At 38.4% G+C, this 26,569-nt stretch overlaps 1 protein-coding gene across 2 annotated transcripts, besides 2 other annotated features; it reads right to left on the reverse strand.

Moving 5' to 3' along the window:
• Positions 1-26,504, reverse strand: TRAF6 (TNF receptor associated factor 6). 2 transcript variants are annotated; one of them, NM_145803.3, is made up of 8 exons: positions 26,280-26,504; positions 17,951-18,043; positions 17,452-17,769; positions 14,722-14,872; positions 13,340-13,498; positions 11,208-11,279; positions 8,783-8,860; positions 1-6,882 (listed from the first exon to the last, which is right to left on the reverse strand). In NM_145803.3, exons 3-8 carry the CDS (start codon positions 17,745-17,747, stop codon positions 6,070-6,072), a joined length of 1,569 nt encoding a protein of 522 aa, NP_665802.1. In that variant the 5' UTR covers positions 17,748-17,769; positions 17,951-18,043; positions 26,280-26,504; the 3' UTR covers positions 1-6,069. The 2 variants fall into 2 exon arrangements, with proteins under 2 accessions (NP_665802.1, NP_004611.1); NM_004620.4 differs by lacking the exon at positions 17,951-18,043.
• Positions 17,030-18,229: an enhancer, noted in NCBI's record as "CDK7 strongly-dependent group 2 enhancer chr11:36522348-36523547 (GRCh37/hg19 assembly coordinates)". NCBI's record gives its function as "activates an origin of replication core promoter dependent on BRD2, BRD4, P300/CBP, MED14 and CDK7 cofactors, with strong dependence on CDK7, by STARR-seq in HCT116 cells {active_cell/tissue: HCT116}" and the evidence as "EXISTENCE:reporter gene assay evidence [ECO:0000049][PMID:35650434]".
• Positions 26,323-26,372: an enhancer, noted in NCBI's record as "active region_4633". NCBI's record gives its function as "activates an Ori minimal core promoter by ATAC-STARR-seq in GM12878 lymphoblastoid cells {active_cell/tissue: GM12878}" and the evidence as "EXISTENCE:reporter gene assay evidence [ECO:0000049][PMID:35858748]".
• Positions 26,505-26,569: the final 65 nt, after the last annotated feature.

A 26,569-nucleotide genomic window follows, 5' to 3' on the forward strand; every position in this document is an offset into this window, starting at 1 on the left:
TTTTAATATATATATTTCATTTTAATGAAGAGTGCTTTCTTGTAGACATTGATGCAGTACATAGGGCTGGTAAGGAAGTAGTAACAGTGCGGAGGGGGTAAGTATGTCAGTCTGGCATGTTTTCTTCTAAATTAATATTCAAAAAGGTGCCATTCAAGGAACACTTTTGGTCATACCTTGCAACCAGTACTGAGACATGACATAAAGTTAAAACTCCAGGTGCCTTTTTGAGATAAGTGTGAATCCACATTCACAACCTGGGTTGAGAAAGGTCACACTTCTCTACTTACTAAAATGGAGTCCTTCAATCTTAAGTCAGCCCAGCAATTCAGTTGTATTGACCTGATGGAGGCCATCCGAGGTTTCACTGCCATTAGGAGCAGGGCTTGTTTTATGCGCTCCGTGCATGCTGATGGTGCAGGGAGTGGTGGAAGATGTGCCACCTCAAATCTGGATAATTCCTTTAATCCCTTCCTTCAATACAACCTGCTCTTAAAACTGAACACTGATTTTCATTCTTTTCATGATTAGTGTTTCCCCACCCTTATCTTTGCATTCACTCCCTCTCATAAAGGATGCATTTTCAGAGTCCAGATGGATTAGGATAACTGCTTACAAATTCCATGGCAATAGTTAAGTTCTGAGGAAAAGCAGGCTTTGTGATAAGACCACTGGATGTCTTTCAATTTTCAAAAGTCAGATTTCATTCCACAGCTTGTCATACAGTTTACAGAATTATGAGAATCCTCCCTGGATTCACAGTGTCTTTCTTAATAGAGTCATACATTAATGAATGTTACCCATTATTTAATATTTAAATTTCAAATTCTAGTTTCTACTTTACAAGGAAAAGGACACGAAGACAAAACTGATTGACCCATGGTCAGTCAGGAGAAAATGTGTCTTAGCTCCTAATTTAGTGACCTATATGCTAAATTACACCTTTTCATCCCTCTGAGAACATAATTCTGGAAGCTTGTATAAACAAAATAGGCCCCAAATTACATTCTCACCACAGAAATTAGATAATTTATCAAGTGCAAAAAGAACACGAGAATATTCTGCACAATTTATCAAGGACCTTCAAATAAATCCATTACAAAAAATACCCCTTCAGGCAAAATAAATAAGACTGAAATTCAGCATAACAAATTTGCAAAGTTTAAAATTAGCTTAACGTGAGGGCTGCAATTCCAGTTACAAAGCAAATGTCCCAAGTTCCCCCAAAGAACTTAAGACAAATTGATTAAAGTTGTTCAGTTATTTTAGAATATTTTGTTTAGAGAAACCAAACTTGAAGTCTCATTAAAAGTAACATCTATCAAGTGATAAAGCAAATGTAACATAATATTACTGCAGATTCTAGGTCGTAGATGTTCACTATACAAGTCTTTCAACATTTCTGCATGTTTGGGAAATTTCATCAAGTGCTGAAGAAAAAAAGCAAAAAAAGTAACATCTGCGCCTTACCATCTAAAATTTACATGACAAGGTACCAGAAATTGGTCAGCTTCAACTGCTGCTTTCAATAAATGTTCATTATTACGTATTTGAGTGTGTGCAACGTGCCAGGCACTGTGGTAAGAAGAGGGGATTCAGCAGCAACCAGAACACATCCCCATTCCACACAGTTTACCTTCTCCTGGGGACTTGCATAGAAGAGAACTATGGTCACTGCTGCTTGGGCGATTGTCCGAGTGGGACAGCACCTACCTTCAGAGCTGCAGACAGTAAGAGCAGAGGCACATGCCCCAACTTCCCCATCTTAAAGGCAGGGCTAGTGTCCTGCTGAGAAAGCACTCTGAGAGAAGAAAAGCAGCACCACATCTCTCATTTCCTAAAATGCTTTTCCCACCTAGAATTATTTTTCAGGATTTTATGACCCGAATTTCCTGTGGGGAAAAAGCTTTAAAATATTACACACACAAGTGACATTTAGTGAAACAACCAGGCACCTCCTTGCCAAGTGTCCGTTTTTGACTGAAAGTGAAGGCTGTAATTGAGTGTCACAGTCTGCCAAGATCCATCCAATTTGATTTCATCAGATCATCTTTCTGGATACTGGGAATTTGTAAGTGCCAAGTACACTCTACAGGCACAAAGACAGAAACAGAGAAACTAACTTACAGTCCATCATGTCAATCTGGGAGTTTAGAAAAAGCACACTTCAAAATAAAAATATAAATGACTACTTATGGCTCCTTTTCATTTCCTTAAGGCATTGCACTGTTTAGGTTGTAAGCAACTAGGCATCACAAACAGAATCTGATGTTTTTGTTTTGTTTTGTGAGACAGTGTTGCACTCTGTCACCCAGGCTGGGGGTGCAGTGGCATGATCTTGGCTCACTGCAACCTGTGCTTCCCGGGTTCAAGCGATTCCCGTGCCTCAGCCTCCCAAGAAGCTGGGATTACAGGCATGTATCATGACACCTGGCTAATTTTTGTATTTTTATAGAGATGGGGTTTCACCATTTTGGCCAGGCTGGTCTCGAACTCCTGGCTTCAAGTAATCCGCCAGCCTCCACCTCCCAAAGTGCTGGGATTATAGGCGTGAGCCACCGTGCCCAGCCTAATAGTATTTTATATAAAATAATGAGTAGAACTTGAGGCAAGCCAAGAGAACAGTGTTAGTACATACAAGCAATTGTTCCTCTGTAAAAATAATGCATTCTAACTGTATACATAATTCATAAGCATGCTTAGTTTATCTAAGACTTACTGGTGTAAAAACGGTAATAGAGAATTATACTGTGACCTGTATAATTTTATATGGGTCACAATAATTAACTGCTAGAGATCGTCCAGTATCTCTGTATTATTCCATCATTAGAATAAAAAACACCTGCCTTCATTCTGTTTCACTTTTTTCTACTATTTATCCCCAAAATAAAAGTTAAATCATATTGTAGTATACCAATAAACAGTCTTTGCTGCCAATAGATAGTAATAAACTACCAAACTTCAAATCAACATTCAGACTTGTTTGCCAACAGCAAAATGTATGACGTGCAGCAAGTTTCATCCAACAGTGGGTTGGACGCTGGGCGTGGTGGCTCATGCCTGTAATCCCAGCACTTTGGGAGGCTGAGGCGGGCGGATCATCTGAGGTCAGGAGTTCCAGACGAGACTGGCCAATATGGTGAAACCCGGTCTCTACTCAAAATACAAAAAAATTAGCTGGGCGTGGTGGCGGGTGCCTGTAATCCCAGCTGCTTGGGAGGCTGAGGCAGGAGAATGGCTTGAGCCCGGGAGGTGGAGGTTGCAGTGAGCCGAGGTTGCACCACTGCACTCCAGCCTGAGCGTCAGGGTGAGACTGTCTCAAAACAAAAAACAAAACAAAACAACCTTTAGTTGAACATCTCCAGAAAAAAGTGGAAACAATTTCTTTTTTAATTTAGCAATGTCCCAGAATGATGCCAAAAGATAAATATGGTAAAAGGTGGTTAGTAACATACAACATAAAGCCCAAAGGCTTGTATACCCAACTGAGTGAAACTAGCATGTTTAAGAATAGAGTAGGAGATTGGGAAAATGTAAGGAAGAAACCAACTTTCCAGGTTAAGGCTTAATTCTGATTGAAGTAAAAAGTTTTCTATTTGGAATGACAGCTTGACTATTCTACTTTGTAGTCAAGATGAATGACCAGCATAAAATAACTGGCTGGTTTATGACAAAATGCCAAATGTTGGGGGTTAAAATTGCTCATTTTACTTAAGATGTGACCCAGCTGATAGACACTAAATTAGAGGAAAGTATCAGTGTCAGCAAAGAGTAAGTTAAAGACATTTTATACTGGCAAAATACTTTCCTAAGTATTGTCATTGTTCTGCTGGTTGGAACTTAATTTGAGACAGAATGTTATGGCTGGAGGGGACTCTAGAAATATCTGGTCCAAATCATTTTACAGATGGGAAGCTTGCTAAAAGCTGAAATTAGGCAAAACAACTTTTTTTTTTAATAAAGACTCTTGAGTTAGTAGAAAAAAATAGTATCACCAAGGCAGGAAATGACTCCTCTTTGTATCTAATGCACAGCCAGTGCTTTTAATAGAAATCTGACCAGGAAGCTTTTAAATATCATTTCCTTTTTTGAGCTGGGGGCGTGGAGATTAAATGTTTTGTGGCAACATTTAATTTTTTTCTCCGATAAAAGTACACATTTATTGTAGAAAATGTAAAAAATATAAGCAAGCGCAAAGGAAAATAAGCCAACAAAAAGTTTAGTATATTTCCTTCAGGCTTTTTCTACGCAAATACAAAAATACTACTGTTCAGTTTTTAAATGGAACTTGACAATTATTTATTCATTGTAAAATAATCACAGGAACAGCAGCAGTGTAGGTTTCCCTACCTAGAGGGTGGTATGCAGTGATTCTCAGGCGCTGGTTGGAAGGCACAGCTGAGGGACACAAACTGCCAGGAAGTAATGTGGTAACTAGCCATGAGCTTGTGGTACTAATGGTGGCACGGGAAACAAGGTCTCTGCTTGACTTTTATTTTCACTCCATAACAAACTCACCAGATCAGGAGCCTAAGGGTGGGTGGGGAGGGAGAAGAGAGAAAAAAGCAAAGGGAAAGTTCAAAGTGACACTCGCTGGGGCTGAAAACCACACTCCCCTGCAGATGAGGTCCTTGGCTTTCTCTTGAAATTAAGGCTGATCTAGAACGCTGGCTGGCGACTCTGATTTGGCCTCTCTGGGGGATACAATGTCATCTCTCATTACCAGACAACTTTAAATGGTGGATGGATCTTTAGATCCTTTATAAGCTTATACTAGTTGCGGGTCTCCCTGAGAACTAGATTCCACGATATTTTATATCTATATATAGGCCTTTAACAAATACATGATGGCACACAAAAAAATCATCTCCCTATTAGGAAAATCTGGTTACTTCCAGGATTCTACAGGATCCTTCTCAGAACCTGCAGTTGTTAGGCTACAGCAACATACTCAAGCTAAGTTGTGATACAACCACTGTGACTTCTAATCCTAGTTTGGTGACCTCCTAGGTATCTCCAATCATCTCCCAAGTTTTAAAAAATTCTGATTTTAGGAAATCAATTTTGTTCTTTTTAATCGAAATAAACCAGAGGGTATTCAAAAGAGCTGAAAACTTCTGGCTCACATAGCTTCTGTCACCACCAATGAGATGCCACATGCGCTGACTACTTGGGTCACTTTTAATTTTTATGTTGCTGATTGTATGTGTGCATCTCCTGTCTTGTAAGCATTAAACAAATGAAGACATATGCAGAGCTGTGAAATTCACTCTGCACTGAATAGACAAAAAGGGTTACATAGCATAACAATGAGCAGTTGGTATCCACGTGGTTCTCAGCATTATAAACTCTGGGGAAGATGCTACTTCGTAACCTCAAGGAAATAAGTAAGCAAGGCAGAAGGAACACTTAAACAAGTATTATTCAACAGACATGTTTACACTAAATAATTAAGGTTATATTTAGGGTTTAAACTCATCCCTGAATATCCTTAGTAACAACCTGGAGGAAAAACTGGGGTGAATGAGAACTTAAGTTTTCCAAGGATTATGGTTCAAATCCTCTGAAATCTATAACAGGTTAAAAAAATGAGAACTCAACTTTCTAGAGCAATAACTCTTCTCGAGGGCACTAGCACAAGGCGGTAGTGATTTTCACTTTTAATATATTACATATAATACTACAAAAAGACTGAAGTTTTAAGGAAAATCCATTATTATTAAAAGTTTAGTACTCTTGAGTCTGGACTTTCTGACAATAAAATACACCAGAGCAAAAGCCCAAGAAAGTACAACAAAGAGGTATACTAACTGGCAAAATAGCTGCTGCAACATGCCACAGGCACTTCAGGCCTAACATTTCTGAAAAAGCATGGAACGTGTGGATTCCCAGGAAAAAACTGCCTCAGATCATTTGTAACAGGAAGAAATAGTAAGTGACCTCTCTAACAACACTCACTAGTAGATATTACATATTTCCCGTGGCTTGTTTGTTTGCATGTTATTGAGAACAGGGCAAGGAAAGGCACTGTTTTCTCCAGGTAGTTGTTTTTGAGCAAGTGAGGGCAAGCTATACCCCTGCATCAGTACTTCGTGGCTGAAAACCCTCCCTCCGAAGGCTACCCATGTCAAAGCGGGTGGAGACCTCACAGCGCACTAATAATGTGTCATCCTTAATGAAAGTTCTTTGTCTTAGGGCTTCCAGATGCATAAAAGTTACATAGCCAAAACCTTTTGGGTTCCGTGGGATTGTGGGTCGCTGGAAAGCAAGCAGCTCTGGTTTGGCATCCATTATCTCTTCGTGGTTTTGCCTTACAGGTGCTTCAGACTGATCAAGAATTGTAAGGCGTATTGTACCCTGGAAGGGCCAAGGGAGGTGGCTGTCATATTCTCCTTGCATTGTGTGGACAAAAAGGGATATATAGTTTGCACAGCGCTGAGCAGTCGGTAACTGAAGGTGCAAGCGCATGCACAGTTTGTACCCGGGTTTGCCAGTGTAGAATCCAGGGCTATGAATCACAACAGGTTTCTCCTCTTCTTGACATTTCAAATGCATTCCAAAGTTGCCAATCTTCCAAATATAAATTCCATTGCACTGCTGTGCTTCGATTTCAGCAACTTTGTCCTCAAGGGTTCGAATGGTTCGTTTGAGCTCACTTACATACATACTCTGAGTTTCCATTTTAGCAGTCAGCTCCCGGATTTGATGGTCTTGTCTTACAAGGCGACCCTCTAACTGGTGAATAGTTTCCTGGAAATTCCGGACCTCTGAGATATACCCAGAGTCGGGTATAACGCTCAAACTATGAACAGCCTGGGCCAACATTCTCATGTGTGACTGGGTGTTCTCTTGTAGGTGGCGTGCCAAGTGATTCCTCTGCATCTAAAAATCAAGCACAAGCCTTAGGCTGGGAATAGATACCGTGAGGAGTAGGAAAAGGACCTGGCCAGGTCAAATAAGAAGTTTTCAAGTAGTCACACCACTTCCCTCAATTCTCTACAATTTTCCTTTGCCTTCAACAGATTCTTGATCCAATGAGGCGACTCTGCCTCTTAGTTCACTGAAAAACAGACTATCTGATGACTACTCTCCCAGCTTTCACTCACATAAATCTCCCTCCCACCTACAAAAAATGTATTTACACACATCCTTCTTTTCTAACTGAGATGCCTGTCCTCTCCAAGATTAACATTCTACCTGTGCTCTAAATGTTACCTGACCTGTTGCGACACCCCAGAGATTTTACTCAGTGATTTTTCTTCATCTTTAAACATCTCTTCCTCTAACACTTTCCTTTAGAATACAATTATTGAAGTCTTTCCCATCAAAAAAGGACAAACCTCTCTGAAGAGCTTTTGTCTCTCTCTAGTTAATATTAATACCATTTTTTTTAAAGTCAAGAATATAGTCTACCTGTATTGTCTGCAATTCCCAGTATACAAATCTATTGCAAATTGGAATTTCTCCTGGCACCATGCCATTCTAAGGTCATTAAGAACACCCTATTATACGAAAAACATTCATAATACAACAATTTTTATTATAAAAGGTCATATAGTCTTTAAAAAACCTAGAAAATATAGATGACCAAAAAGGGTGTTACCTAATATCTCACCTAACTTCCATTAACATTTTATTTCTTTCTTTTTCTCTAAGCACAATACAGAATTTTCCCACAAAATACAACCATACCATTTTGCTCATTTTATTTTTTAAATTATTAAATGTATGTTTGTTACACATAAGTCAGGGAAAAAAAAGTATAATGGAAAACCAAAAGTGTAACTGCACTCTCCAAAAAGAAAGACATATCATAAACAATGATCAATCTCAGACATTTGACACTACTGATCATGAATCTTGAAACTAATTTTGGAGACCATAATACTACTTTCTCTTTGCCTGGTTCATCTGTTTCTTATACTGTTTGTTCATGGCTCTTTTCCTTGGCATACTTCTCTTTCCTGTACATACGCCATATGATCTCAATCACAACTTCCATTATTACCACAAATCACTTTCCCAAATCAATACTCTGAGTCCTAATTTCTCTTTGGGGCTTAAGACAGCACATAATGCATGTCAGTCATCCCACCTGTTCCCTAGCTGGGTGAAGTCATTATCTGTAATTCAATACATTAAAACAGATTTTTTTTTTAAACTCTACCTCCAGTCAGTTCTTCCTGTGTTCACTCTTTTTTGCCGAATGGCCCTTCCATCTACCCAGTGACAAAGGCCAGAAACCAAGAGTCATTCTAGACGCCTCCCTCTCCTTCACTCATCACATTTATTTAGTCACACAGGCAGTAGATCTTCTCTCCTAAATATGTACTGGCTCCTAGGTCTATCTTGACGGTCATCGCCATAATTCAAGCTGTCTTCACTTAGGTATTCCAACAGCTCAGGTACTAGTACCCCCACCTCCACCTCAAATCATCTACATTGCTATTGGGTTGAACTAGCACAACACAAACTACTTGTAGTTCCTCAAATCACCATGCTCACTCTTTCTCACTGGTCTTCTCTCCTTTGTCTTCTTGGAAAACTATTTCACCTGTCAAGATTCAGCCCAAAGCATCATGTTTTGTCAAGTCTGTCTGAATGCTTTAGGCATTGCTAAGTATGCCTTTGCTTCTGCTCACAGCATCCATGAATAACTCTATTATATCACTTATTACACTGCTTTACAACTACATCTACATTCTTGTTGTTATTCTCCACTACATGATGTAAATATTTTTTTTTACTTATATTCAAGAATTAAAAGAAAAAAAAACCTTACCTTTTCATGGCAACCAAAAGTACTGAATGTGCATGGAATTGGGGCTGTAGGGCAGTCTAGATCATAATGATTAGGCATCTGAAATCCAAAACAAAGGCTGAAAAATCTCTTCCTTGCATATCATTTTCTAGTTTGATGCGATCACATTTAAACTGTATTGTCAATGGCTGCTTTGTACCACATTGGCAGTTGAATAGGTGCAGCATAAACCATCACCCACAAAAATTAAAAGAACATCTACTTTCAAAAGTTATAGAGAAAGGAAATATCAACATCTCATAATATCCCCTCCAATTATCCAAAATTCATTTCAAGAAAATGAATTTGTTCCTCTTGCTGGGAACTGGCACCCTCTAGTGGCACTTTACAGAAAAAACACCTAACAATAGCTACAAGTGCAAACTGGATTAAGACTCCCACTATGGTCTAGGCCATTTAATAGGAACCAGTCAACTGCATGCACTGAAGCCACTGACTACACCCATACTTGCCTCATGACCACCTCTCAAAAATCATCTTTGACCACCTTTCAACAATCTTCTTAACTTTTGTTAAGCTGGGCATATTTTAGCTACAATGGGGAGACTCAGATGTTAGAAGGTACTTTAAACACATTAATAGAAGCTCTAAAAAAAGTCTCAGTCCTGGATTTTGGGACTCTAAGACACATTCTCTAAGGTAAGATCCTTTATACTCAATCATATTTTTTCAAAGAGGTGCCAAATTCCCTTTAGAAATTTAATGTAGCTATAGTTGTAGATATTTCAAACAGGAAGTACCTGAGAGACCATTTATTATAATTCAATCCTTCATTTCTCAAGAGGGAACAGTGTAGAACAGGGGCCAATAAAATTTTTTGTAAAGGATCAGATAGTAAATATGGGCTGTACTGCCTCTGTCCTAAGTATTAAACTCTACCATTGTCATACAAAAGTAGCCATACACAAGACATACACACATGGGTATGACTGTCTTTCAATAAAACTTTATTTACAAAAACAGGTAGAGAGACAGATCTAGCTGGCAGGCCAGTTTGCTGATCCCAGATCTATTTAGAATGTCAACTTGTTAAAGATGAGAGGGCACAGTTAAAATCACAGTTTAAACCTAGGACTAAAACCCAGGTTTTCTGACTCTTAGCCTAGGGTTTTTTCTTGTATTTTCTTTTGCTGGGTTTTAATTTGTTGCATGGTTTCCTTTAAATGTTAAAAGACAGCAAAAAGGAAAACGAGTTAGGACTTCATAAGCAAAAGATGTTTAACACCTTCAAATTAAGGCTTTGTTGGAAAAATTAAGAGACTGTTAACAAACCAATGAAAAAGTTTTAAGGTTAACAAACTTGTCCAGTGACAGGTTTTGCTTGCTGCTTCTCAGTAAGGTATATCAATAATGATCTCTGGGTTTACAGATTTCATGGGTATATAAATATTTAATGGTTAATATTCATATTTTGTGGGTAAACTCCCCAAATGTCAGAAGATAGCAATCAGATGGAATTTTCCTTTCTCTACTAATAGTCAAAACAATCTTTGGGCTGGGCTTGGTGGCTCACACCTATAATTCTAGCACTGTGGGAGGCTAAAGCAGGTAGATTGCTTGAGCTCAGGAGTTCGAGACCAGTCTAGGCAATATAACAAGACCCCGTTTCTACAAAAAATCTAAAAAAATAAAAAATTAGCCGGGCATGGTGGTGCACGCCCGTAGTCCCAGCTCTTTGGGAGGCTGAGGTAGGAGGATCGCCTGAGCCAGGAATTTGAGGCTGCAGTGAGCCATGACTGTGTCAATGCACTCCAGCTTAGGCAACAGAGTGAGACTCTATCTCAAGAAACAAAAAAACCCCACCATATAATTTTCTATTACAATTACTACTTCTAATGATGCCCGGTCAGTGGCCTACAGGACAACTGAACAGAAGGGCTACAGGTCCTAAAAATCTGAAAACTTCCCTGTATGCCTCAGGGATTACAGCTACAAATATTATTCTCCTACTGAACAGAACTGCCTTCCTTTATTTCGCTGTTCCCTCTTATTCTTTCAGCCAATCTCTGGACACTTGAGATCCTCATTTCACAGTGTGTAAATATATATATATATATCTTAGTTTTTTCTTTCTTTAAATGGGGACCCTTACTTTTGATTATTTTTATCTTAAAATTGGTTTTGTTGGGAATTTTTATGAATATACAAAAGCACAGGTATTATGTTAATGACTTAGGAATTTTAAGTACTTAAAAAGGGCTGGATGTTTTGTTCTCCCTGAAAGTATTTATTACTTATATTAATTTATATAAAAAATTTTCACACAGCTCTAATACTTCTTCAATCTGTATTTCTTTGCCTTATTGATTTAAATTTTCAATTAAAAAACCTAATTCACTTCTTTAAGCTGTTTATGAAAATAATAATTTATGAAAATGAATAATACCTGTTCTCTGATGAGTATAGTATTGCAGTATTCACAGATGACATTTGCCAAAGGACAGTTCTGGTCATGGATCTGAATTTTATTAGAGAAATATAATTAAAGCATGAGAATATCTGAAAAAGTGAAAACAACTAATTTTGATAAAAAGCAATTTTTCACTATAAACAAATAAGGACATCAATTTGTACAAAGCAAAAGTGAGTGAAAGTGAGAGTAATATATAAAGGCTATTTTCTTTCTCTTTCCCAGTGTAATAATGAGATTCATTCAACTTTCCAGCTCTTTAAAAGAGCAGGGTAGTATATAAAAAATAATTTTTCAAATCCCTTCCTTTTATCCTGAGGTGGTACACCTGTATCTACTTTGGACATCATCTGCCGAGGCTATACTTCTCCAAAGGTAATCTTACAAAAATTTTCAGCAGCAGCATGACAATTTAATTAAAATTTCTTGTCAGTAGAGTTAAAGAACAAATCTTTTATTAGGACATGAGGATTTGGTGCTCAGTTTCTCATATGCCCCAGAAGGGTAAGCCTTATTTTCTAGAATATAATGACTTTAGTTGATGTGCTGAGAAATAATTAGCCTTCCAGGTTAAGTCAATCTAATTTACTAAAGTTTAGAAAGGAGTTGTCGGGCCGGGCGTGGTGGCTCATGTCTGTAATCCCAGCATTTTGGGAGGCAAAGAGGGCAGATCACCTGAGGTCAGGAGTTCGAGACCAGCCTGACCAACATGGAGAAACCCCATCTCTACTAAAAACACAAAATTAGCCGGGCATGGTGATGCATGCCTGTAATCCCAGCTACTTGGGAGGCTGAGGCAGGAGAATCGCTTGAACCCAGGAGGCAGAGGTTGTGGTGAGCCGAGATTGCGCCATTGCATTCCAGCCTGGGCAACAGGAGTGAAACTCCATCTCCAAAAAAATAAAGAAAAAAAGGAGTTGTCATTTTACTCTAATTATGACTGAGACTTCTCTACATTTATACCAAGTTAGCTAACTTTTTTTGAATATTTTATCAATGTAATGGATAAAATATGCTTGATCTCAAAGTGGGGAAAAACTGCCAACGTGAATTTATAAAAACTATAGTTTAAGGAAGTATCTAAGTAACAGAATAAAAACATAAATTATATGTAGGTTATTTTATAAAAGTATACATAGGATAGGGATCAAGGGCTTCGATTTCAGGGTTAGCTTTTTTTATTGGCAATATTAATACAAGTCTACTTAATCTATCTCAGTTTCTGAATATAAAAACTGTCCTATAATCATGATGCTGTTAGGCACTACCAAGTTTCTTTTTAAAAGATAAACTTTTGGCCTGGCATGATGGCTCGTGCCTGTAATCCCAGCACTTTGGGAGGCCAAGGCGGGCGGATTACCTGAGGTCGGGAGTTCGAGACCAGCCTGACCAACATGGAGAAACCTCGTCTCTACTAAAAATACAAAAATATTAGCCGGGCATGGTGGCACGTGCCTGTAATCCCAGCTACTCAGGAGGCTGAGGCAGGAGAATCGCTTGAACCCAGGAGGCTGAGGTTGTGGTGAGCTGAGATCATGCCATTGCACTCCAGCCTGGGCAACAAGAGTGAAACTCTGTCTCAAAAAAAGAAAAAAAAAAAAGGATAAACTTTTAAATTTAACATACAAAATGAGAAGTAAATACATTATATACGCTGCACGATAAAGTATCATCAAGAAAACATACTTTGTGGGTTTGATTTATTCTTTGTAATAGTTAGAACAACCTATTCTGTTTCTCAGAATAATTTTGTGTAGATCTTATCTTAATCTACTTGTTTGTCTCCAATCCAAAATTGGTTATTAAAATATCACACAGGAAAGCTGATCGGCATATGCCTTTCTTAGAAGTTCTGTTACTTGCATATCTACAATAGTGATAACTAGTATAAATGTTTTTTTAAGAAAGACATGCAAAACAAATTCTACACTTATGTACTAAAATGGCTTATTGAACCTTCTTTTTCTTAAAAATCATTTTTCCCAAAATTGATAATGTAGACTCAGAGTCGGAGTCACATCCTTATCTACTGCTAACCCCCTCAAGTACACATTTAAGAACAATATTTTAAGAAGTAGTGAATTTAACAAATCCAAGTTAGTACATGCCTCTTTATCTTCAAATGCCATTGATGCAGCACAGTTGTCACAAGAAACCTGTCTCCTTGGACAATCCTTCAGAATGTGAATATTAATATGGAATTTTTGGAAGGGACGCTGGCATTGGGGACAATCCATAAGAGCAAACTCACAATGTGCTTGATGATCCTATAATTAAAAAAATAATGGATTAGCATTAGCCAACTCTGAAGTCTTCTACATATAAGCTCTCCTAATCATATACTGTTCTCTTTCAGCAGGCTACTGAACCTACTTTGTCTAATGCACACCACAGAACCATTCACAATATGAACGTCTTTAGCGAATTTTTTAAAATGGTCATGGGTTGCAAATTTATACAAAGGATGTGAATTCTCAAGTTCATGCATCCAACTAGCAAAGAGTGTTGGAAAGAAGTCAGATTTCCTATTTATCAATTTATTACTGTGTCAAAAAGGCCACTCTCTTTTAAGAGCTAATAAGTAAAAGGAGCAAGTAGTATATCTGCCTTAAACATTTAATTTCAAATATAACACTAAATTTAATTTCTGGTAAAAATCACCAAGCTAATAATTGATCTATTTAGTATAAAAGCAAATTATTTTATAATCTGATTGTTTCTGTTAATCTGAAACTATAGGCGTATTCCACTTAGTTCATAATAAAATGCACAATTTAGAAAAACAGAAAAAAGTATAATGAGGATACTGAGATGATTACTTGGGAATTACTGCTTATTTCAAAATGACAAAAATGAAATTGCAAGATTAAAATGTGACACTTGTATTTTTTTTTTTTTTTTTTGAGGCAGAGTCTCGCTCTGTCGCCCAGGCTGGAGTGCAGTGGCGTGATCTCGGCTCACTGCAACCTCTACCTCCTGGTTTCAAGTGATTCTCCTGCTTTGGCCTCCTGAGTAGCTGGGATTACAGGTGCACGCCACCATGCCTGGCTAATTTTTGTATTTTTAGTGAGAGACGGGGTTTCACTATATTGGTCAGGCTGGTCTTGAACTCCTGACCTCGTGATCCGCCTGCCTCAGCCTCCCAAAGTGCTGGGATTACAGGCGTGAGCCACTGTGCCTGGCCGACACCTGTATTTAAAATGCTCCTCAGGTTTACTGCAGATAAAGCTTACCAAAAGCTTATGAAACAATACTGATTTTTTAAAAAAATTACTGCTGGGCAAAGCCAGAGTAGATAAAACAGTATATTTCTGGTTTCTACTTACATTTATATTCAATAATTAAAGGGTTGGCATTAATTCAGCAAGAATTTATTAACCAATCATCATATGCTAGGTACTGGCAATACACAGATGGACACAGCAAAGTCCCTATTCTGTAGGAACTTCCTTTTATACATGTGCTAACAGCTAGAAAAGAACTTTAATACCTCAAGATGTCTCAGTTCCATCTTGTGCAAACAACCTTCATTTGGACATTTCACCATCAGAGAAAGAATCTCACGTTTTGCAAAATTGTCTGGAAATAGTTGATTTTCCAGCAGTATTTCATTGTCAACTGGACATTTGTGACCTGCATCCCTAACAGAAACAAAATACACACAATTAGATTTAAAGACTCACATTAGAAAATCCAAACAACTTTAATTCACCATATATAAATTCTCCATTTACTGTTTCATAAGTAAAAACAATTTAACATATTATATTGCAGGTCACCAAAACAAACTGTCCTTTTATGGAGAGCTTACAAACTGTTCTTTTATGAAATGAGTACAACTAGCATACTGATAACCTATCAAAAGCTAAGGGATTTTTATATGGTGGGATAGATTCCAGCTTTTTGAGAAAAATTAGCTGAATAAGGTATTTTGATTGGTACAAAATGAAGTGAAAGAATGGGAATTTTGGCAGTCTGGCCTCTGTGTTGTCACACCTATATAATACACTAGAAAGATGGAATATGCTGCTCACAGTACCAATAACATGTCTATAATGCAATTGCTCAGTCATAAGTAAAAATTTAAGCACTTAGCAGTACCTCCGTGAGGTCACATTTTAAAGTTTACTCTGAAATAGTCACTATAACACTCCAGCTAACAGGCAACAAAAGTTTCCTTTATTTGTATGTCTAGGGTCCAATGTTACAGAAAGTTAAAGGACCTCTATGTCCTGCTTCTCAGTGGTTTATTCTTTCTTATGATGGAAAAAACTATCCTCAGAAAAAGAAAATGGGATTGTATTGAGATGCACTTTGATTCCTTGAGTGAACATACTCAATGAGAAATTTCAGAGCAGTTCCTTTAAGAACACTGGGGCTAAGTGTTCATTTTTAAAAAGCTTACAGGGAGACAGAAAAAAAAAAGCCTCAGACTTCTTTTTGTGGGTTGTATTTCCTTTTCAGACCACTGTCCCACTACTTTCATGAACATCTTGCTATTAAAAAGCTGCTGAAGATTAGCTACCTTCCTGGGCATGGCAGTGAGCCGAGATCGCGCCACTGCACTTCAGCCTGGGAGACAGAGCAAGACTCCATCTCAAAAATAAAATAATGTGGAGGTTGAGAAAAATCTACCCAAAATAGATCTTGTTAAGTCAGCGCTGTGTAATACATCTTTCCCCAAAATTGAAACAGCAGACATTATCTTTTGTGATTTAAATTAAGCCAAGTCCCGAGTATGGATGTAGTTACTCTTAAATTCAAGTTTTATAGAAAAGTTAATGTAAAAGTTGGCAGATAAAAACTTTGGAGACTAACAAATTGCCAGGACAGACTTATAATGAATTCACTAATATAACTAGATGGCTATTTATTGAAGAACATAAAATCTGCCCCCCTTCATCCAATTTTTTGTCCTGTATAGGACTCCTTAGTTACCTACAAAATTCCCATGTACTTTTGAATTATAGTAAAATGTATCTATTTCCATGGAAATTGCAAGTACTTTCATTCAGTTAAAGCAACCATGATTTACTGATCATCTACTATGGGTCAGGCACTATTTCCAGAACTTGGGAAAAATCAAGAAATAAAACAGATCTAATACTTTGCTCTCAAGGAGCTTATCATCCAGTGGGGCAGACAATAAACACATAAATTATTTGGTGCTTTAGAAGGCAGAAAGTGCTAAGGGAAAAAAGAAAATTAGGGCCAGGTGGAGAGATTGGGATTGTTCGGCAAGAAAGGTGGAACCACGCTGTGGTATAAATACGGTGGTGAGGGGACCTATGAGAAGGTGAGATTTGAGCCAAAGTGGAAGAGTTAAGGGGTTAGCTGTGGCAAGAGTGTTACAAACAGAAGAGCTAAAGCCACCACTCACCAAGGCAGGAGCATGCCTGACATGTTCAAGGGATAGCAAAGAGGGAATGAATGGGTAGAAGGACAAAGAGTGCAGCAGAAAAGAGGTCAGGAAATGAATCATGGGCCTATCACACAGGGTCTTATAAGGATTTTAGCTTTTACTCCCAGATACCCTGCTACAATGGTCTGAGCAGAGATGACATCATCTTACTTATTTTACTAGGTCCACTCCCGCTGCTGTATTGAGAACAGCCTGGAAGACAAGAATAGAAAGCAGGAGGCCTGTTAGAGAGCTGGTGGTGAGTCACAACAGGGTGGTAGCAGAGGGAGGAAGTGAGAAGGGACTGGATTTTGGATATATTATGAAGGTAGAGCCTTCAGTTAATACTTTCTTTAAAAATACTGGTAATTTTACAGTTGACCATACACTTTAGGTAATAAACAAGATTTAACATGCCTAAAATCACAATAACTGATCACTTACAGAGTCAGTATTCTTTGTGTGGTTGAGATTATCCTTATCTAGTAGCATCATAATTTAAGGTACATTTAAAAAATACTATTTTCTTTAAAGCATAGAGTCACTCCCCAGTCTGCATTAGAATTGCTTTAAGTAAAAGTAGCAAATTATTTACTTATTTATCCAAGGGTCAAGAGAGGAGGAGATTCAAGTCACTTTTCACACAACAGTGGAAACTGGGATAAGAATCTAACTTTCTCAATTTTCTGTCCATTGTTCTTTTTTCCTAAGTAGCTTTTTATGTGTAAGACTACTTTTGGGATGTTCCATGTTCTATGTAACAATGTTCTCTGCATCTGGTTCTGTTATAGGACACCATTTTTTCTTATGCTCACGTACCTTATTGATTTTATGATGCAGGCTTTGCAGAACCTATGGCCGCATGGCGTTTGCACTGCTTCTCGTAATGCCATCAAGCAGATGGGGCATTCATACTTGCTTTCCAGGGGTGGGTCAAACTCTACATCATATCCCTGGATCTCCTCCATAAATGAGCTGGAGAGGTTCCCCGTGCTGGCAGTTCCACCCACACTATCATCTTTTGTTACAGCGCTACAGGAGCTGGCCATGGCCACACAGCAGTCACTTTCAGACTGGCTGGATCCACAGCTGTTTTCACAGTTTAGCAGACTCATAGTAACTTGATTATCACTTGCTCTGTAGAAATAGCAAGAAAAAAATGCCTTTATAAGTAACACACACACTCACACCCCACACATATATATCATAGCTTATCTATACAAGTCACTTTTTAATTCATGTACATCAGCTGTATTAATGTTATTTACAGAAAACTTTTAAAAGTGTTTTGAGCTTTTTCATGACTATTATAAGTTACCTGATTCTCTCCTTCAATAAATATATATATTATTATTTGTGCAAATCACTTGGAGCACACAAAGAAAGCTGGGTCCCTTCAGAAGTTCATGATCTAGTAGAACGACAGCATATAAAGTTAAAAAAGGAGAAGCACCTCAGTTGTAATACTCTTCTATATCACAATTATCTGTTTACATGTTTGTTTCCTGTGATTGAGCTAAATATTTTAATTTCCATTTCCGCAGTACTTAGCACACGATTTTTCATACAGTAAGTGTTCACTAAGCATCGCTAAAGAACTTATCCATGTTGTTGAAGTTCCTTGAAGTATCCTGAGCTGAAGGGAATAGTATGGCTAGCAGCTCAGTGCCAGGAAAAGCAGTACGCAAGGAATCAGGTGATCATGTGCCACTGTTAGATGTGTGATTTAGTGCAAGTTACTTAACCATTTAGATCTTGGTTTTTTCTTCTAGGTCTAAAATTCTATAAGGACTTCCAAATGCTCAGTGTGGAGATTTCTATTAGGTATTAAAAATAGAATTGAAAAAGTGTATTTTTATGTCCTTCTGCCTTCAGTCAGGTCAAGTGACTATGTTTCATTATTAATGACTGGAAAAACAAGTGATGTTTTGTTTGCCTATGGAAAACTATTGGTTTCATGAGCAGATGAGATATCCTCAAATTCTAAACCATTATGGTATTTACAGGCGAGAAGCTAATATTTAAAAGCAATTCACAGCCCATGTAACCACAACTGTATTTTAAATAATTACTTTTGAAAAAAATTTCTAGTATGTGTCAGATATCATTCAAGAAACAGAATGTAGGCCTCCAGTCATATTCTCCTGCTTGTCTCACTTTTATATAAAATTCCTGGCTGCCACTTCACCAAATCGAGGATTAAGACAGTAGTACTCAATCCTTTTACCACTACAAATACCTTTTTATTCTTTTCAAAGATTCTGAGTAGCACTTGATGACCGCCTACAATGAGGTACTATTCTGGCTGGAAACGCAGTGCTAATAAGTGGTGATGAGCTCAGGTGCTGGAATTGAATGATACGAATTTAACTCTTTTCTTCCATTTATGAGCTGGGCAAATTATATAACCTTTCTGTGCTTCAATTTTCTCATCTGTAAAATGGTTCTAACAATAAAATCCACTTGAGTTACTGAGAAGATTAAATGTGTTAATATGTGCAAAGCACTTAGAACAGTGCCAGGCAGTAAGAATGAATTATTACAACAACTTTATGTAGTATTTAAGTTTTGTTGTCACCACTTATCAAAGTGGTAACTATGGAGCTTAAAAGGTTAAGTAACTTACCTAAGATTACCCAACTAATAAGTAACAGAGTTGGGATCAGAACCCACGTCTACCTGACCTTGGAGCTTTGCACTTTGTAATACACTACTTTTATCCATGTTTTGACCAATTTGTCCATGAAGCTGCATTTAAAATTTATTTGCCTTTATTTTATTACACTAAAGTGCTGGCCACAGCTACTATTAAACATGGTCTGTCCAGCACTACTACACTACATTGACAGAATTCCAAAGAATCTGCAAAGAAACTTGGCATGTGGTTTACTTAAGTTTTTTTTTTTTTTTTTGAGACAGAGTCTCACTCTGTCGCTCAGGCTGGAGTGCAATGGCACGATCTCGACTCACTGCAACCCCCGCCTCTGGGTTCTCCCGCCTCAGCCTCCCCAATAGCTGGGATTACAGGCGCCCGCCACCACGCCCAACTAATTTTTGTGTTTAGTAGAGACGGGGTTTTGCCATGTTGGCCAGGCTGGTCTGGAACTCCTCACCTCAAACGATCCACCTGCCCTGGCCTCCCAAAGTGTTGAGATTAAGGCACGAACCCCCGAGCCCGGCTGTGGTTTATTTAGTTTTGATACAGTATTCCCGAAGTTAAAAATAGCTCCCATGGCCTTGCTATATCTGATGTGGACTCCTAGGGAAGGTTCATACAGATTGAAAGGAAGCAAACAATGGCAAGACAGCAGAAAATAGCAGAACTAGTCACTACAGCTGGGTCGTAAAATACGGTATAGGGCCCCCTTTATACCTTCCAAATCTGAGGACAAATGATGCTGTTATGCTACACTAGGGTATATATCCTTTGTTATTTTTATTCCCATATACAGGCATACTCAGACATTTTGGATTCAGTTCCAAACCACCGCAATAATCCAAATACCATAATAAAGCAAGTAATACAATTTTTTTGTTTCCCATACAAAGTTATGTTTACACTATACAGTAGTCTATTAAGTGTGCAATAGCATTATGTCTAAAAAGACAATGTATATACCTTAATTTAAAAACACCTTATTGCTAAAAAATGCTAGCGATCATCTGAGCCTTCAGCGAGCTATAATATTTTTTGCTGGTAGAGGGTCCTGCGTCAATGTTGATGGCTGTTGACTGATCAGGTTGGTGGCTGCTGATGGTTGAGGTGGCTGTGAAAATTTCTCAAAATAATACAACAATGAAGTTTGCTACCATGAAGTATTTCTCTGTAGCATGTGATGCTGTTTGATAGCATTTTACCCCACGAGAACTTCTTTCAAAAATAGCGTTAATCCTCTCAAATTCTCCCACTACTTTATCAACTAAGTTTGTAGAATATTCTAAATCCTTTGTTGTTATTTCAACAATGTTCACAGCATCCTCACCAGGAGTTGATTCCATCTCAAAAAACCACTGTTTGCTCATCCATAAGAAGCAACTCCTCATCTGTTCAAGTTTTTTACCATGAGACTGCAGAAATTCAGTCATATCTTCAGACTCCACTTCTAATTCTAGTTCTCTTGCTATTTCTACCATCTTCAGTGACTTCTAATGAAGTCCTGAACTCCTCAAAGTCATCCATGAGGGCTTCTTTCAAGTTCAACTTCTTTCAAACTCCTGTTAAGGCTGATATTTTGACCTCCTCCCATGAGCCACAAATGTTCTTAATGGCATCTAGAAAGGTGAATCCTTTCCAGAAAGTTTTCAATTTACTTTGTCCAGATCCATCGGGGGCTCATTCTCTATGGCAGCTATAGCCTTATGAAATGCATGTTTTAAATAATAAGACTTGGAAGTCTAAATGACTCCTTGATCCATGGGCTACAAAATGAATGTTATATTAGCAGGCATGAAAACAACATTAATCTTCTTGAACATCTCCATCAGAGCTCTTGGGTGATTAGGTGCATTGTTAATGAGCAGTAATATTTTGAAAGGCATCTCTCTTTCCTGAACAGTTCTTGACAGTGGGCTTAAAATATTCAGTAAACTACGCTGTAAACAGATACGCTGTCATCCAGGCTTTGTTGTTACCTTTATAAAGCACAGGCAGAGTAGATTTAGTATAATTATTAAGGGCTCTAGGATTTTCAAAAGTGTAAATGAGCACTGGTGTCAACTCAACATTCACCAGCTGCATTAGCCCCTAACAAAAACGTCATCAGCCTGTCCTTTAAAATTTTGAAGCCAGGAATAGACTTGTCTGTAGCTATGAACATCCTAGGTGGCATCTTTTTCCAATAAAAGGCTGTTAAGTATACACTGAAAATTTGTTGTCTGGTGTAGCCACCTTCATCAACGATCGTAGCTAGATCTTCTAGATAATGTGCTGTAGTTTTACATCAACACTTGCTCTTTCATCTTGCACTTTTATGTTACGGAGATGCGTTTCTTTCCTTAAACCTCATAAACCAATCTCTGTTAGCTTCCAACTTTTCTTTTGCAGCTTCCTCACCTCTCTCAAACTTTACAGAATTGAAGAGAATTAGGACCTTGCTCTGGATTAGGTTTTGGATTAAGGAAATGTTGTGGCTAGTTTGATCTTCCATCCAGACCATTACAACTTTCTCCATATCAGCAATAAGGCTGTTTCACTTTCTTATTAGTGAGTTCACTGGAGTACCACTTTTAATTTCCTTCAAAAACTTTTCCTTTCTATTCACAATTTGGCTAAATGGCCCATTTTGACTTCTGATGTGCCTTCTTCAGTAAGCATAATTATTTCTAGCTTTTGATTTAAAGTGACAGACATGTGGCTCTTTGGTTTACTTGAACACTTAGAGGCCATTGTAGGATTATTAATTGGTCTAATTTCAATATTGCTGTGTCTCAGGGGAGTAGGGAGGCCTGAGGAGAGGGACAGTAAGGGAACCAGCTGGTCAGTGGAGCAGTCAGAGCTCTCACATTTATTAAGTTCATCATCTCATATGGGTGTGGTGCATGTACTCCAAAACAACAATTACAATAGTAACATCAAAGATCGCTGATCACAGATCACTATAACAGACATAATAAAGTTTAAAATATTCCAAGAATTACAAAAATGTGACAGACAAATACAAAGTGAGCACACGCTGTTGGAAAAATGGCGTGCAAAGACTTGCACAACACAGGGTTGACATAAATCTTCAATATGTTAAAAAAAAAAAACAAAAAAGTATCCGGGAAGTGCAAAAAACCAGTGCTATAAAATGAGGTATATCTGTACATTTCTGTGTCCAATTACTTCCTTAGGTAAATTTCCTAGAGGTAGAATTGTTGGATCAGAGGGTATGTAACTTTTTAAGCTTTCTGATAGATAATGCTGGTTATCTAATATGTATCAAAGACATTCTAATTTCCACTCACACAAGCACAGTATATATGCAAGAGTCCATTTTCTCTACGCTTGACAACATCAGGTATATTTCAGTCTTGAACCATTTTTTTTTTAAGTAAAATCACTTTTGAGAAATTAGTATTTGTTATTTGGTGTAGGACATATATCCAAGTGCTGGCCACAAGACAAAGGCAGAAATTATGAAGCTAGGTGTATCTTTTCTTTTCTGCCCAAATGTCCAGTTTAAAATATAGTTTATTGGATAGTCTATACACTGCCTGCTTCCAGTCCAGTTCAAAAGGCTTGAAGGTCTTTAGGTCTGAAGAGACCTTTTATAGCTAATGTGTTCCTAAGAAAATCTGTCTAATCAGTTATAATTCCTTAAAAGGAACTCCACTGTGGGAATGCAGTGTGACACATAAAAGTGAGCATGTTCAAAATCTATTTGCCTTCAAGTTTCACATTACTTTCCACGCTTTAAGATGCAATCCAGAAGCTTTCTATTTTCCAAATAAACTTTTTCATATAGTTATCCTTTAAGTCCACAGTATTTAGTTTCATGTAACTAGACATAAAGGGAAAATTAAGTTAAAAACAATTCTTGACTGCCACTTAGCATTTTTGTTTCCTCTTTCTTTGGTAAAACATTTTGTCCCTTTAGTTTTAAGAACTGCAATGACTTAAGGAAAAATCACCTAACTTAATTATAACGATAACTAACACTAAGAGAAGAACAAAAAGTGCTTTGTATATATACGTATATACACATAAATGTATATACGTGTATATATGTATATATACATGTATTATACATACATAAATGTATATATGTATATATACATGTATTATACATACATAAATGTATATATGTATATATACATGTATTATACATACATAAATGTATATATGTATATATACATGTATTATACATACATAAATGTATATATGTATATATACATGTATTATACATACATAAATGTATATATGTATATATACATGTATTATACATACATAAATGTATATATGTATATATACATGTATTATACATACATAAATGTATATATGTATATATACATGTATTATACATACATAAATGTATATATGTATATATACATGTATTATACATACATAAATGTATATATATATACATGTATTATACATACATAAATGTATATATGTATATATACGTGTATACATGCATATATACATGTATATATGTATATATACGTGTATACACGTATATATACATGTATATGTATACATACACGCGCGTGTATATATGTATACATACACGCGCGTGTATATATGTATACATACACGCGCGTGTATATATGTATACATACACACGCGCGTGTATATATGTATACATACACGAGCGTGTATATATGTATACATACACGCGCGTGTATATATGTATATATACACATACATACATGTATTATACATATAAACATATACAAATATATGTATATATTATATATGTGTATATATACACATATATACATGTATTTTATATATGTGTATATATATACATATATATACACACACTTTTTTTTTTGTCAGGGTCCTGCTCTATTGCCCAGGCTGGAGTGCAGTGGCACGATCATGGCTCATTGCAGCCTCCACCTCTTGGGCTCAAGTGATCCTCCCACCTCAGTCTCCCAAGTAGCTGGGACTACAGGTGTGTGCCACCAAGCCTGGTTAATTTTTGTATTTTTTTGTAGAGACAGGATTTTGCCATATTGCCCAGGCTGGTCTCAAGCTATCCTCCCACCTCAGCCTCCCGAAGTGCTGGGATTACAGGCATGAGCCATTATGCCAGGCCTAAAATAAAAATTTCTTACAGCCTCTATTCTAGTATACTTACGTGGCTTTCTACAGGAATTAATGAAGGGATGGAACAAAGTATAAATTGTTCCTTAACTTGTATGTTAAGAGTGTCCTGACTGTAATCCCCTTTTGCAGTTGCGAAATCTAGTATGATAAGCACTACCTTAAAGATTGTGGAACGTTAACTACTGCTAACTTATTTCAGCCGTAAAATGAGTAGTATTGAAAGCAGCCTTGTCATAAATCAAGACTTAAATTCACGAATTAGTATCTGGGTGTACATTATAATCAAAAGAGAATACTGTAACATGTCTTGGGGGAGGGGGAAGTAGGATAATCCACAAAAAGTTTGTCCTCCAAGGCAGATGCTAAGGAGGTATGTGCCAAGTTAAAAGAAGTCAACAAGTTATGTCTTAAATGAGTCAATTTTAAGTCAACTGAAATTCATACGAGTAAACATGTAACTTATTGAAGTAAAACCATGTAAAGAAAATATGAGAAATTATCTTTAATGTGCTACTAGCTTTAGAAACAGAAACTGTTTACCAGCTTCTTAAATTTCTAAAGTGTGAAGACCTACAAATGTACTCCAATGGCCAAGAGATGCTGCAAAATACTCAACTGTTGTGCCTTAACTTTGAATCCAAATTCAAGGGGCATTCCCCTTCCTGGGCACTATTTACTCTGCTCCAGGAGGCAAGGATTTGAACTTCTCTCCAAATCTAAGTGTCCAAAAGTTTACCGGCATCACATGCCCAAATTTATCACAGAGAAGAGCTCATGTTACAATTCTGAAATATTGTGGTGCATGCAGGCTGAAACTCTGATGTGATCCTGTACCCACCACATGCCGGACTCCTTCCTAGAGTCACAAAAGAGGCCACATTGTTCCTGCCTATACACTCAACCTCAAAATTTGAAAAGCCCCTCTCCCTTCCCTAGTAATCAAAGGAGAATGAATGAAATGATAGCGGCCAAGTTCACAAGGCCAACACAGAATTTCTTTACCAGTTTTTCTCGTTTCTACATGGAACCTGTGTAACAAGACATTCAGTAATAGTAATCTGCTCTCAGAGAAAGAAACAATTAAATACCATACAGCGAAGCTGCTAATACTTTATTTAGGTGCTTTCTGTTCACATTCAAGACAGTCCTAACTCAGCTGGAGTTCCCCTTAAGCCAAATACTAGGAACAGCTTTATCAACCCGGCGTCTGGAACAATCGCTCGAACTACCGAGTTTAGGGGCGGGGGAGAAAACATTCGTGTCATCTGAGCCTTTTTTTTTTTTTAAACTCGCTGCCTGAGACTTCTATAGAGTTCAACAGGGAATCCAAAAATAGCTTTCCCATGACAGTGACAGCCGGAGTCGCCAGGAACGTAAAGGATTTTTTAAAAATTTAAGCAGGTGTTTGCTCCAAGGAGCGGACAACTGCAGGAGGCAATTTCCTTATCTGGGAAGGGGAAAAAGCGGAGTTGAGGGGAGCGAGGTTGAGTAAGGCGACGCGGGGTTTTTTAGGGGGTGGAATGAGCGAGGAAGAGGAGGCCTGGGGAGCAGAGGTCAGGGGACAGGGAACGGTGTCCCCGACCTGTGGGAAGCGTGGGGACAGAGGCTGCGTCCCGACCTGCAGGAAGCGAGGGGCAGGGAACGGTGTCCTCGACCAGCGGGAAGCGAGAGGACAGGGGCGGCGTCCCCGACCCGTGGGAAGCAAGCGGGTAGGGGCGGCGTCCCTGACCTGTGAAAAGCGAAGGGACAGGGGAGGCGTCCCCGACTGGTGGGAAGCGAGGGGACAGGGACTGCGTCCCCGACCTGCCGAGAGCGAAGGGGCGGGGGGCGGCGTCCCTGACCGCTGGGAAGCGAGGCGGCGGCCGCCAGGAGGAGGCGCCTGAAGGAGACTCACCGTTCTAGTGCGCGGGGAGGCCGAACCAGGAGGGCAGGGCTCCCCCACCAACCGCACGACTCCGCTCAGCCAAGGCGCTGGTAGAGGACGGACACAGACACTGCGCGCCGAGACGAGGCTGCTTGGACGGCAAACTCTGGATCCAGTGGGAGCCTTCGCCACCTTCGCTGGCCGCCCGCAGGCCAAGCCCCAGCTGCGGACGCCACTGCTTCCGCCTTCTCTGCTGGCTGCGGGGAGCGAGGGGCAGGGAGCGCGCCGGGGAGGAGACAGAGCGGCCGAGTTCGGAGAGA

This window comes from Homo sapiens, chromosome 11 (genome assembly GCF_000001405.40).
Source record: "Homo sapiens chromosome 11, GRCh38.p14 Primary Assembly".
NCBI lineage: Eukaryota > Metazoa > Chordata > Mammalia > Primates > Hominidae > Homo > Homo sapiens.

Bases quoted from the DNA above. Each gene is read 5' to 3' on its own strand.
- TRAF6 (NM_004620.4), bottom strand. From the start codon at position 17,747: ATGAGTCTGCTAAACTGTGAAAACAGCTGTGGATCCAGCCAGTCTGAA. The intron at 11,280-13,339 runs GCATGTACTAAC...AATAAAATTCAG, and splicing joins TGGCATTTGAAGATAAAGAG to ATCCATGACCAGAACTGTCC. The intron at 6,883-8,782 runs GTAAGGTTTTTT...CTTGATTTTTAG, and splicing joins CTTTTGGTTGCCATGAAAAG to ATGCAGAGGAATCACTTGGC.